The sequence below is a fragment of the Homo sapiens genome, chromosome 8 (genome assembly GCF_000001405.40).
Source record: "Homo sapiens chromosome 8, GRCh38.p14 Primary Assembly".
NCBI lineage: Eukaryota > Metazoa > Chordata > Mammalia > Primates > Hominidae > Homo > Homo sapiens.
Window position 1 is genome coordinate 35,763,598 of NC_000008.11, and position 14,338 is coordinate 35,777,935.

Here is a 14,338-nt window from a genome sequence, read left to right on the forward strand (position 1 = left end):
TTCAATTTTAGGAAACAAAAGCCTCCTACTTAGCTTAGCTGGGCAAAACCACCTTAGGCAAAAGTACCTGTGAACTCCAGAGTGCTATGTTATGGTTACTTTCATTGAAGTGCATAGTGCAAAGCAACCCTACAAAAATTCACTGGTTTGGAGAAGAGAGTTTATTTGAGGGCTAATAGAAATAAGAATGGAGAGAACAAGTACAGGGCAAGAGATGGTGGAAGCCCTTGAAGGCCAGGCAGGAGACAGAGTTTCACACAGCAGGTTGATCAAACGACCACTGTGGTCTCCCAAGCAAAGGACTCATGTAATAAATGCAGAGTTCCTAGGTGGCCTGGTCACATCATTGCCTGCCCCCAATCATTAGAGGTAAAAAAGAGACCATAATGCTATTTCCTGAATAATCCCAATCAGCTGCTTTCTGCTTTCTGTTTTCCTGAGCTATTTGCCTCTCCCATTAAGCCCCAACCCCCTCATTTGCTCTATGTAGTAGAGCTTGAAGGCAGGAAGACTGGGAGTAGGTGACCAGAGTTAGCCATAATGGAAGCATAATGGAAACCAGAATATTAGAGGAGAAGAACAATGGCAGAGAGAGATGATGGCAATCAGTTTCCAAAAGTTAAATTTGCCAGAGAAGTAAAGACCAAACAAGATTATTTGTAGTGCTTAGGGGTATAATGCCAGGAATTGAGGACAATCAGATAAATAACAGAGATGATGTTTTTGGAGTCCTTCAGAGAGAGATGGCAGTTGGGGCACGTGTGAGCAGATGGGATCTTGAACAGTACAGTAGGCAGAAAGAGAAGTGTAGGAGGCTGAGATGTGGAGGAAGGGCTGCCCATGGTTTACAAAGTGGAACAAAGCTCAGGAGAATTAGGAAAAGAATCACATTAGATAACAAGGAGAAATGGCAGAACTTCTAAGTGCATATGATGATACAAGTGAAAAGTCATTTGGAGTATTTTAGAGAAAATGACTTACTGTAGGCATTGCAGGAGGCCCCACAAATCAGAAATGCCCTCTGCTGCAGGATCTACCACAGGAAGAAAAGAGATCATAAGTAAAATATTTTTGTATTAGAAGAAAGTGGGAAAGCAATATCATTAAACGGACATGTGTTGTCAGCTGATGGTACAAGCAAGTTGTCCTCCAGTGAAAAGCACACTTAGTGATCATTAGCTTGGTGCCTCTTCCAGCATTTTCCCCAGACAATAGCCTCCCTCTGGAACTCAGTAGTAGCCCCTTTCAGGGTTGCCCAACTCACATCTGTTTCTAAAATAATGTCTTCAAGGATTGTTTTAGTCAAGAAAATAGAAGGCACTCAAGACATTTCAACCAAGGGGAAATTTAATCAAGGGATTTATGTGATTACAAAACCTCTGTAGAGAGCCAAGGTCAGAGAAAGCTACTAGTGGTATTAGAAAACCAGTCAGGTCAGGAATTTCAGGGAAGTGCACTAGCACTGAAGCAGTGGATTCTCCGGTGAATGTCCAGAAGCCCCTGCACACCTTTCTTGGGCTGTCAGTTGAAGCCTTTGGGTCTGCCTGCTGATCTTAGGGGGGCAGTGATGGCTTCTGCGTTTCCTCTCCCTTCCAAATCTAACATGAGTGCCTCTTGTGGTCAGAATGGGAATGTGAACTCCTGCCAGCAGGGGAGTCTATAAAATGTAGTTTTTAGGCTTCCAGCCCCTTCCGCATGGGGAAGAACAGAGAATGGCAAAGATAGAGTTCCATACTAACAGCCCACTTCTTGCACAGGAATGAAGTCCGTGAAATGCCAGATGGTTTCCTGCCTATAGACCTTCTCTACATCCTTCTTGAAATGCCACTTTTCTTTTGGTTCAGGATTAATAACAAACAAAACGACCCACAGCTTATTGCTAAGATGCATGGTAGAATATTTGATTTTATTATTTCATACTCCCTTAAAGCTGGCTTTCCTCTCTTCAAGTTCACAACAATCTAAAGTCCATCCATCCCTCCTTCCTGAGTCCACCAGAAAGTATCCAAAATAAAAATCTGTGAGGCTTTCTATAGAGAAAATTAGGAAGCAAGGTATCCAAACAAGTGTGCACATAAGGGCTCGGGAATAACTAGGTAACTCATAGCTTCTCAAAGGGAACCGGTCATTTCAATCGTGCTCTTTTAGTCTCATGACCCATGCTGGCTTCATCACCAGTCATAGTTCAGGGTTCCAAACTTCCAGACTTGATATATGTCTTGCCACCTTTCAGTTCTAGTATTGCAGAAAATTTTATTTTTAGCAATAGGTAAAGGAGCAAACTAATAAGGTGAGAAATAGAGAAAAAAGTGAGCGTGAGGATTACCAGAGGCATATGTGGTCATTGCCAAGGGCCAAGCCACATTTGAGTAGAAAGGAGAGAGGCTTTTTAGTACACAAAAAAATTTCGGTGACTAACTTCTACTTCATATTAGTCACAGTCTGGTAGCAAGCACTGGCTAATACTAGGAAAAATGAGTAATCTATAGATTTTATCATTTCCCTCCTCATTTACTAAAAGGTATTTTTGCCTCTCAGTTGTCCATATGTCCCCTGAGAGTAGGGGACTGAATCTGTTCTTGTTTCTTATTGTTTACCTAGTACAGTGTGTGGTAATTAGCAGGCACTTTATACATTATAGTTGAATGGACAAATTGAGCAAATGAAGAACTGACAAACTAGATCACTCTGGGGTGGCCCTGTATGTGTCTGTCTGTCTCTCTTCCCTCCTTCCTCCCTCTTTCTCTCCCTGGCTGTGTGTATATGTGTGTGATTTTGCACTGGGTATTAATTTTTATGTTGGATACATTAGCAATATTGTATTCTCACAATTCTGCATGAGTTTGTGGTGTGGAGTTAAGTTCTGGCCAATCAGTTCCTTAGCATAATTTTTACATAAGTGAAAAGATAACATCCTACCCCAGACCGAAGTAGAAGCATGGCCCACAGGAGTCTTCCAAAGGAAAATATTTTCTAACTGGGGAATGAAAATGATAATTTTTGATGGTATTCTTTCTAATTGTGTGTCACCAAGTGAAATCTGAGCTCTTGCAGTGCGGTTTTGGAATTCAAATGTTATCAGTTGGAATTGACATTAATTACATTTGTGCTGCTTGGCATTTGCTGGAACATTATTTTTACAACAATTCCACTAAAGCTGCCTAGGCAATTATCTCTGCTGTGATTGTCCTCATCGTTGTTGTTGTCGTCATCATCATCATCATCATCACTATTAAGTCTCTCCTGTTCTAGTTCATCTCAGCCAGGCTCTGCACACCATCCCTTCTCTCCGTCTCCCCTGCAGGAAGTCCCGTTCTCCCGCGTGTGGTGCAGTAACCGGCAGCCCCTGCACTGTGCCTTCTCCCTGGAGCGTTATACGCCCACTACCACCCAGCTGTCCTGCAAAATCTGCATTCGGCAGCTCAAAGGCCATGAACAGATCCTCCAAGTGCAGACATCAATCCTAGAGGTGAGTCCTTGATCTACAGGTCATTTGACCCCCTTTCTGAAGGACGATAAGAATAATAAAGCTATACCTACCAGCCGTGCTATTCAGGTTCTGAAAGAGCTTCAAAATGCACAAACTCTTCATCTTCATTACTGATGAGGGAAAATAAGCTTTGTCGCATGCCGAGGATTGAACTAAACTTCCCCCTGGGCAAGGAAACTCAACCCATCAGAGAGCTTAGACTGTGAAGGCACCTCTGGGGAAGGAACTGGTACCAGGCTTTTGATACACAAAATCACAAGAAGTCTTATTCCACAGCAGGCTTGGATTACCAGCTGAGATTCATTATAGACTGAAGCCAGATGGTACAGTTGAGACACATGCCACAAAGAGGCACAAAGCCACCCTCAGACTGTTTTTCTGCTGGTTCTGACTAGTTTCCAGAAGTCAGTTGCCCTATATGTGCTATTTTATCTCCAGGGATGGGACTCCCTGTCTTACTGTTTCTCATACTCCCCAGGCTCAGAATTCTGTACATCCACATTTTCATTACTCCCTTCCAATACAATAATATAAGGAGGACAGGACAGTACAATAATATAAGAAGGATCTCATTCTATAAGGTAAGGAAATAGAAGTGCAAAGAGAGAAAGGACTTTGTCCAGGTCAAATCAGTATTGGAAGGTAGAGTTACAAGTAGCAGTCAAGGGAGGATTCACTGGAGAACTTTTGCAAAAAGACATCTGATTTCCATCATGGCTCCAATTTGTCCTAAACCACCAAGTGACTTTATGGCTTTGAACATAAGCTTATAAAGTAGACAATAGCCATCCTTCCTGAATGGGATAGAGGGAGAGATTAGAAGAGGGATTGTGATGCTTTTGTTTGTCAGTTTCCAGGTCATTACAGGCTAGTGTAGGGAAACATACATTTTTTGTTTTTCACTTATAAAATAAATATATATATACATATATGCATTTATTAATATATAAATATATATTTATAAATTTAGGCTTGGCAGAAGATTGAACACATTTATATACCTACAATTCAATTTCAAGGTTTTTTCCTGGATAATTTATAGCTGTATAGCATTATTCCTTCTCTCTATTCTCATTTGAATTCATTGTTTATGCAAAATGAGCATTGCTAATTCCCCAAATAGTTTTTCTGAAGAGCGGATGGCTTTCCAAAGGATTGTGCCTTAAAATTCATAGCTGTCTTAACTGACATGTTTATGCAGTATTTGCGTTCATTATTGCCAATTAGCATTATGTGCTCAAGTAGTTTTGACGGAGAAGGTAGATCTGGAAACCTGGGGTAGGATATTTTTAGGGGCTCTTTCTTGAACAGTGTTGGTATATTTCACACGATACATTCCAAAGTAAAATAAAAATTGTAGGAAGGCTTTAAAAATAAAAACAAAAAATCCAAGAAGAGCTGGTATTCAGAAGGAAGCATGAAAAGGCATAACATAAAAGATCCCTCTCATCCAAATTGCCCTAGATGTCCGTTAACAGGCCAATGAGTTCGGGTTTAAAGGTTATTGTTTGTAAAGGCATCCAGATATTAGTGATCAACTTGTGCTATTACAGGACATTTATGTAAGAGGAATGTGATAGGTATTTTTGCTCCTTGCTTAATAAATTCTTAAAGCACTTGAAAGGAAAATTAGCTAATAAACACAACCTTATTGTTTACTCCCCAGTTTCTTTTCTAATGCTTCACAAGTTTACAGTCACTTAGAAATGCCTTGCAGAAGATAACATCATAATATCTCTTGATAATGAGAGGCAAGTATGAGAATAATATTTCAATATTTATTGTTAGGCTATAGTCATCCAATTTGAGGGCTGCTGCATTTTAGAGGCTTTATTAACCCTTTGATCCTTTCAAGGATCACTTTATTAATTGCTTCAAGCATAGCTACAGAATTTGGCCCAGGTTGTCATCTTCATTTTGTATAAACTGTATTTTTTAGACAAGTCTAATTTGCTCTCATTTTCTGTGTCAGAAGATGACTAATAACTTTTGTAAGCCACTATATTTCAGATATCATTTCATTTGCTTTCGTATTTGTCATAAAGCCATCAAAACTCTGTGGGTTAAGTATTAGTGCTATCACAATTTTACATGCTATAAAAGTCTCAAAGGCATGAACTTTCTTGTCCAAGATCAAAGATCATGGAACTCATAAGGGAGTAGAGCCACAGTACCCAACTCAGAGACCTGACTTGAAGATCAAAGTCTGACTACTCCACTACACTACTTCTGGACCCCAGTCAAGGCCATCTAATGGATTAGCCTTAACTGTGGGCCTTCTTCACAGTATGGCTTCTCTTCAGGGACTCAGGTACTAGTGACAAACATCACAGCACCAGAAATTTTGTCTTCCAGTACCTGAAAGTATATGAAAACTGGGAAGTTCTTTCTTCAAAAGAACAAAGGATGGGATGTAACCATTTGTGTGATGGACTAGAATTGTTCATTCTATAATAGAGATCCTACATGTAGCTCTGCCTACAAATGGATGTCTTGGTTGAATGATTGCTCAAACCCATTTAATCCTGGGATTGTCTGACTCACAGGAAAGACACACATCTGGTGATACATATAATGCATAAAAACTGTCCTCTTGGCTGGGTGCGGTGGCTGATGCCTGTAATCCCAGCACTTTGGGAGGGCGAGGTAGGCGGATCACAAGGTCAGGAGATCAAGACCATCCTGGCTAACACATGAAACCCCGTCTCTACTAAAAATACAAAAAATTAGCCGGGAGTGTTGGCGGGTGCCTGTAGTCCCAGCTACTCGGGAGGCTGAAACAGGAGAATTGCTTGAACCCAGAAGGCAGAGGTTGCAGTGAGATGAGATCACACCACTGCACTCCAGCCTGGGTGACAGAGACTCTGTCTCAAAAAGAAAAGAAAACTGTCCTCTTTTCCCTAAAATGACTTAATTTTTTGGTAAATGGTTCCAGCAAAAGTGAAGACGCAAAAAGTGCTGAGAAATTGGGATGACCTGGGGAGGTGCAGGATACATTCTAGACCCAGGTCTCTATTGGTGAGTTAGGAATAATAGATCAATTTTTAAAGCACATCATACTTCATGTCCCCTAGGCAGGAAAAGACATTTAGGTGGTTTAATACATTAGTAAGATATATTTATATAATTAACATTTTATATAGGATCAAGATTTAAGATGTATAAAATACTTTAAATATTGATTTTTAAATATTAATAAGATATCTATCTCAAATACTGCTTTAAATCTTTAAGTCAATGCAATAATCATCCTCATTGAAGGCATTTGATCCTTCATGTTCAGCCTCATCCCTGACATATCCCTTCATGCCTCTGATCTAAGTGATTTTTCAAACAAACCCAGTCCTTCATATCACCTTCACACTTAAAAGTTATTTTTCTGACCAAGATAATATATCTGTTTTACTCTTTAGTGTGGTCATTATTGTATCAGTCTTTGGAAGAAAGTTGTTCCCCTTAAATTTAACCCTATTGAATTACCTAATGATTACTGCCAACCAATATTCTATAAAGCAACAGTATCAACAGTCTAAAATTGCAGACTGGAATAAAACAATTTTGCAAATATTGAAGAGAAAGGAAGAATTCCCAAGTAATTTATTTCATCATTCCTTATTAATGTAACATTATTAAAGAATCTTTTCTTCAATATAAACAACTTGAAGGAATCTTGCATGTTACAATTTTCCCTTCAAGCAGTTCTCTTATCTTTCTTCCAAAAGTGTTGGAAGTTGGGGGATAATTTGTCTGTTACAACAGACAGAATAGTTGGAATTTCTCATTGATTTACAACTCCCTTAGCTTACCAGGTAGCAGCTGCTTATCTCAGATGTGCAGAGCATGAAGATCTACTGTTCCTCTGCATATTTAATTTAAACAATCAGAAAATGTGATGTATCTACAGGATTCTTATTACTTGGCCCAGATGTCTTTTAGAGTGCATCATAAATGTTACATAAAGTGTCATCCTTATGCCTGGAAAATATTTAAATTTGAAAACTTTAAGAGGGAAATAGGGACCCACTTATTAATGTGTAGTAAATTGAAAAATTACTTATTTTTAGACTCAATCTCATATAATACTTTATTCACCTTCAAATAAGATCAACTTGTTCAGTTTTCTCTGAAGATATCATGCATCAAGGTGGTTTTTCTTCTGCCCACAGTGAAGAGAGAGCTCGGTCAACAATTTACAGGTGCCATGAGGGCTTTCAGAGGCCAATTCTTTCCCTTGGGATCCTTTAGCATGGACACTTCCAATGTTTTCAGTTTCATTGATAAGCCACGTCTTTGGCATTGACAATGGCAGCTACCATGTTAACTTGTATAGAATCAAAAAAAAATTCTGCTTCTAGTTTCTATCATAGTCTTAAGTCAGAAAATATGCAAGGATACTATTCCTACTTGATTTGCATTTTTAGAGACTAGAAGAAATTTTACAAACCATGATAAAAATGATGTATCTTGTAACCTAGTTTAAGCAGGAAGAAGCTGAGTAGGTTCATTTTATAACCATTCAATATATCAGAACAGAATTGTCCACTGTGCCTGGAATAACCACCTATCCACCTAATTTCTACTCGGTCAATGCCTACCTATCTTTCAGGCCAACTCAAATGCCTCCTCCATGAAGTCTTTCCTACTGTACTCAGAGAACGTTTTCCTTAACCACCCAGCACTGTAGATTTCTTGGCACTTGTCTTGAAACAGGGTGCTATAGTGAAATAAGTACTGGTATAGTTGTTAGGATGTCAGAATTCTAGTTTCACCTCTGTCACAAACTACCTGGGTGAATTTTTCCGGGTTTCATAACTTCTGTGGAGTCTATACAAATGCAAAATAACTGATTAGGAAGTTGGGGCTGAGATAGATAAGGTAGCATCCAAGGTCACTGAACTAGAAAGTGTTGAGATTTACTCCAAAGTGAGGTCTTTCTGCTTCTAAAAACCATGCTCTTTTCTGTTATATAAATACTGGAATAGTTTTGATGAATATTGTTTTATAATATTCCAGGAACATAACTAAAACCAGTAAGTACAATCTGTTTAATATAATAACATGTACTTTGAGGTTCTAAGAAGAGCGTATGATATGCAGCATTTCTCACATGTGCGTGACCATGAAACTGCCATTTCTTGGAATCTCTTCTGAGATATCCTTTTGGAACTGGTGGATTAATGCATTGTGTTTCCAAAAACAGAGCCCTCAAAATGCAACTGTGTTAAATAGTTACAGAGAGACAAAAATCATTATCAATCATTAATGAAATTTCTGTATCAATCAGTTTTCTCAATTAACAGATTTAAGAACTCTATTTTCAACCTACCAAGCCTGATAGTTTATACTTATGTGAGCCCGGCTGCTAGCTGAAAAAGGCCGTCATGGTTGTGGTGCCCACATTAGGAAGACATTTAACAATTGGAAGAGGCATCAGGGCAGGATTTCAGGGAGGGAAGGAAGGGCATGTGTGTACTTGGAGGGCATAACAGGCAAGTTTCTAAGACAAAGGACAGCTTCTTGGAGTTTAAACGTTCTAACTAGTCCCTTAACTCAATCCCAGATCTGATGCTTTACTTACCCCTTGGATTAGTTTTCTTTTGCTACATAACAAACTACCACTAATTTAGAAGCATAAAATGACATTGATTTATTATGTCATAAGACTGAAACCAAAGTGTTGGCCAGGGCATGTTCTCATCTGGAGCTCAGAGTCCTTTTTTTTTTTTTTATACAGGTTGTTGGCACCATTTGGTTCCTTATTGCTTTAGGACTAAGGTCCCCATTTTCTTGCTGGCTGTTGGCCAGAGGTCACTCAGCTCCCAGAAGCCACCCTCAGGTCCCAGATACATGACCCCCTCTATAGGAAGCTCATAGACTGGCTGTTTGCTTTCCTCTAGACAAGGAGAAAAGGTACCTCCAGAAAAGACCTATCTCTTCTCATTTGAGGACCACCTGATTAGGTCAGGCCCACCCAGAAAAAATCTCTTAATTGAGTCAGTCAATTGATTAGGGACATTAATTACATCAGCAGAGTCCCTTTTGTCTTATAATCATGGAAGTGATTCAATTGGATATTTTTCAGTCCTTAAAATTCTGTTAGTCCACCTAAACTTCTTAGCAACCACTGCAGCCTGGCACATTTCTGTGTGATTTCATGTTGGATATAAGGATTAATATTGAAATGACAAATTCTTATTGGACAGCTTTAAACCAGAAGCAGGTAGGCAGGCAGGAGCCTTCCTGATTATACCACTATACAGGCTGGTCTATATGTTACTCTGACTCAAGGCTGGCTCTGTTATACCAAAGCAATTTAATTCTGAAACAATTTTATTTAATTTTGAAATAAAGATACTTATTATAAAATCACACAACTTTAGGACTTGGGAAGAAAATAAAATTAAAGGTAATCAACATACAATTATACCCTTGTAGATTTCCTACAAGGCATTTCCTAGGCAGCTCCTTTGATCAGCCCATTCACCATTAGTTATGACTATCAGAGGGTCATTCCTCACTCTGAACTGAAATCTGTCATTTGGTAGCTTCTTCCTGCTGATTCTAGAGCTATGCCTGAGAGCAAAAACAAACAGAAAAAGAGTCTAATTCTGCTCTCACCTGACAGTTTGTTATTTTGTTTTGTTTTTTGTTTGAGGCGAAGTTTGGCTCTTGTTGCCCAGGCTAGAGTGCAATGGCGGGATCTCAACTTACTGCAACTTCCACCTCCCAGGTTCAAGTGATTCTCCTGCCTCAGCCTCCCCAGTAGCTGTGATTACAGGCACCTGCCACTATGCCCAGCTAATTCTTTATATTTTTAGTAGAGATGGGGTTTCACCCTGTTGGCGAGGCTGGTCTTGAACTCCTGACCTCAGGTGATCCACCTGCCTCAGCCTTCCAAAGTGCTGGGATTACAAGCATGAGCCACTGTGCCCAGCCTCTGACAGCTCTTTTAATGCTGGAAGCTAGTCATTGTGACGCCCCTGAGTGGAAGAGGCTGTTGTAAATTTCCAGTACACAATTTATTAGGCTACTAGAGAAGTTCTTTACTATCTTAGAAGAAAGGGGAACTTATCAATGTATTTTATAGAGTCCATCACAACAGGCAAGCATTTTGTGCATGTGTGTTAACCCAGATTTTCTTAAAAAATGAAAGTGTTGGTCAGGACTGCTTTCAGATAGATCTGATCATGCGTTCCTTATTTTGTTTATAGAGTGAACGAGAAACCATCACTTTCTTCGCACAAGAGGACAGCACTTTCCCTGCACAGACTGGCCCCAAAGCCTTCAAAATTCCCTACTCCATCAGACAGCGGATTTGTGCTACATTTGATACCCCCAATGCCAAAGGCAAGGACTGGCAGATGTTAGCACAGAAAAACAGCATCAACAGGTAATTGGGGACAGCTTCTGGAAGACGATGTTACTAAGAGAACTTGGAAACATAAAGTGGGCTAAGTGAAACCATGTAGTTTCTGAGCCCTAATATTTTTATGAGTTCCTCTGGCCATATTTCCTGTGTGTTCCCACTAAGTAAGTGGGGAAAGAGCAAGAAAATAACAGTAGGCCAAGCGTGGTGGCTCACGCCTGAAATCCCAGCACTTTGGGAGGCCGAGGCAGGCAAATGGCTTGAGCCTAGAAGTTTGAGACCAGCCTGGGCAACATGGTGAGACCCCATCTCCACAAAAAATAATTAGCTGGGCATGGTGGTGCACGCCTGTAATCCCAGCTGCCTGGGAGGCTGATGTGAGAAGATCACTTGAGCCTGGCAGGTCAAGGCTGCAGTGAGCCAAGATTGCACCACTGCACTCCAGCATGGGCAACAGAGTAAGACCCTCCTCCAAAAAAAAAAAAAAAGACACTCTGTGTGACATTTCCTGCTACCCCATTCTGCCTTTTGCAACATTATAGAAAATCCCTACTTTGGTTCTGGTACCATCTCTAGGTTTGCTAATTGGGTCACCCAAATGGGCGATTAGACTATGTTATCTTGGAGACTGTGAGTGAACAGAGCACTTTCTTAAGCCAGTGATGCAGAAACAAGCAAATTTCTCACGTCTCCCCTCTACTATCGGGTAACCCTAAGCATTCTTTAACCCTTAATGAGGACATGCTCAACCTACAAAATTGATTGCCTGAATAGGAAAAAAAGAAGTTTGAAGATAACTTTTGGGTCTGAAACCAGAGGATGTGAAATAAGCAAAAGCTTGCCTAGGAACTGTGAATGAACATGCTGCTAAAACTGACACTGCTCATTACTGCACTAACATTTGTAGTTGAGAGTAGAATAGAGAGATCCATAATGGACTTTATTACTTTAGGTAAGACAGGCAGGGGTGATGCTCTTCAGGGCAACACTGATGGCCAGGCAGGTTTGGGCTCAGCTTGAGGGATACACAGCATCCCTGCCCTGAAAAATGACATCTCCTCTCCCTGTAAGCCCTCTGCATGCCCCCAGAATGAATAGAAAAGAGAATATATTTTGCCAGAACCATTTTATTTCTCTTTCCTTTGGTACTATTTTTTTTTTTCTTTCAGGCAAAACCTTATTTTCTTACTGTTTGGCTTGCTCTGTCATTTTCATTTTTTGTTCTTTATTTTCACAGACATCCTACCTGACTCTTTCTTCTCTGAAAGGGAGGGTAGATGTCTGCCAAGAAGGGATGGAGTGCTGCTCTCAGTTGCAAAAGGGATCCAGAAGCCAAGAACGAAGGGCTCAACTAGAAATCAGTCAGGCTCAGAGAGGAAAGTCAAGACGGAGGCATTGCTGCAAGAGAAAACTGAATTTACAGAGACAGGCAAGCCCGAAAAGAATAGACATATGTTTGAAAAGGCATATATTGAAAATGAAAGAAACAAAAATGTATGAGTGTACAGGGGAAAAAAATTAGATTGAATATTTCCCAGCAACTCTGACAAAAGATGAGATGTCTTGTCTATGATCAGTGAACACCATGACTGTGTCAATTTCCCTTTCTGATCAACATGGATCCAAAAATGAAAAATGAACCCAGAAAATATAACACGGTTAAAAAAGAACAGTGAACAGGGACTCAGAAGATCTGCATGAGAGCCTTGGTTCTGCTACCAATACCAGTCTGCCTAAATGAGTCACTTACTATCCCTGTGTTTCTTTTTCTAGAAATGCAATTGAATCTAAACTATATTAAGTCTAATTCATGCTGGCTATAAAAGTTTATGATTTTTTAAGTCACCATTTAGAAAAAAATAATTGTCACAAAATACCTGTGTGCCCATAGATGCTGTAATTAATTTGCTGAATAAGCATGTACATGTTCCTACCTTATTACATTTTATTCTCCATTTATAGTACACATAAGAGAACTACAGGGAGTACCTCCAAAGTCATCAGTTTCTGACCTTGCACGGTAGGGAAAATGCATTTCAAACTGGGAGACTTAAGTTTAACAACCTTTTGTATCTGAGCACTAATGAGCAGTCAGTGGCTACCCTGGAGCCAACTGCCCCCTTCTGTGTCTGGGGCCATAAAACCTGAGTGCTCATGTGGCTGATGGTTTACTTGTTTTTGTTTTTCTTTAAGATCCCATCTCCAGGAAAATTTTTTTGACATAATTCATATAACCTATTTCATAGAAAATTTCTAACAGAGAACCCAGAATATGTAGATTCTTAATAAATGCTAGTTTTCCCCCTTGACATTTTCACAATCCATGGCAAATCACAATAGCACAAATATATGGAATCTACTTCTATCCTTAAATCTTATATAGCCCGGCTCACATCTGTAATCCAAGCACTGTAGGAGGCCAAGGTGGAAGTGTCACTTGAGGCCACAAGTTCGAGGCCACAAGTTCAAGACCGGCCTGCACTTAGGGAGAACCCTGTATCTACAAAGAATTAACAAATTAGCCGGGTGCGGTGGCTCATGCCTGTAATCCCAGCACTTTGGGAGGCCAAGGTGGGCGGATCACGAGGTCAGGAGTTCGAGACCAGCCTGACCAACATGGTGAAACCCTGTCTCTACTAAAAATACAAAAATTAGCTGGGCATGGTGGCAGGCACCTGTAATCCCATCTACTCTGGAGGCTGAGGCAGGAGAATTGCTTGAACCCAGGAGGCAGAGGTTGCAGTGAGCCGAGATCGCATCACTGCGCTCCAGCCTGGGCAACAGAGCGAGACTCTGTCTCAACAAATTAGCCAGGCATGGTGGTGTATGCCTCTTGCCCCAGCTATTTGGAAGGCTGAGGCAGGAGGATTGCTTGAGCCCAGGAGTTTGAGGCTGCAGTGAGCTATGATTGTGCCACTGCACTCCAGCCTAGGTGACAGAGCAAGACCCTGATTCAAAACAATAATACTAAATAAATGAAAAACCTCATACAGTTAACATATCAATTTCACTGAGTGTCATTCCCTACCTTTCTCTTTAATCTCTAGCTTTACTCTCAAAAAATAGTGAAATCATGGAGTGAAAATGATTTAAACTAAGAGCCAGCAAACTTATTTTTTCTGTAAAGGACCAGACAGGAAAGAGTTTAGGCCATATGGGATCTGTCACAACTACTCGGCAACATTCAACTCTGATGCTGTAACAGGAAAGCAGCCAGAGAGAGTCTGTAAACAAATAGATATGACTGTGTGCCAGTATGCTATATTCACAAAAATAGACAACGACCCCTATTTGGATTATAGTCTGCAGTTTGCTGACCCCTGATTTAAGTGAATTTGCCTTGATTTAGTAAAACTTCCATAGGATGTTATTGGCTCTATCTTAAAGTGAAGGAAGAAGGGAGGAAAAGAAAGAGGGAAGAAGATGAGTACAAGATGCAGAGAACCAGCTTCACAGGCAGACCACTAAGTGTGGTTACCTGG

The 14,338-nt window shown here is 40.2% G+C and overlaps 1 protein-coding gene across 17 annotated transcripts in view; it reads left to right on the plus strand.

The window, feature by feature from the left end:
* Nucleotides 1–14,338, plus strand: part of UNC5D (unc-5 netrin receptor D) — a 561,066-nt gene that overhangs the window by 528,123 nt on the left and 18,605 nt on the right. For all 17 annotated transcript variants that reach the window (NM_001438417.1, NM_001438418.1, NM_080872.4 and 14 more), the window contains 2 exons: nucleotides 3,305–3,469; nucleotides 10,702–10,880. In NM_001438417.1, the coding sequence (NP_001425346.1) occupies nucleotides 3,305–3,469; nucleotides 10,702–10,880 (344 nt within the window). The remainder of the gene's footprint in view (nucleotides 1–3,304; nucleotides 3,470–10,701; nucleotides 10,881–14,338) is intronic.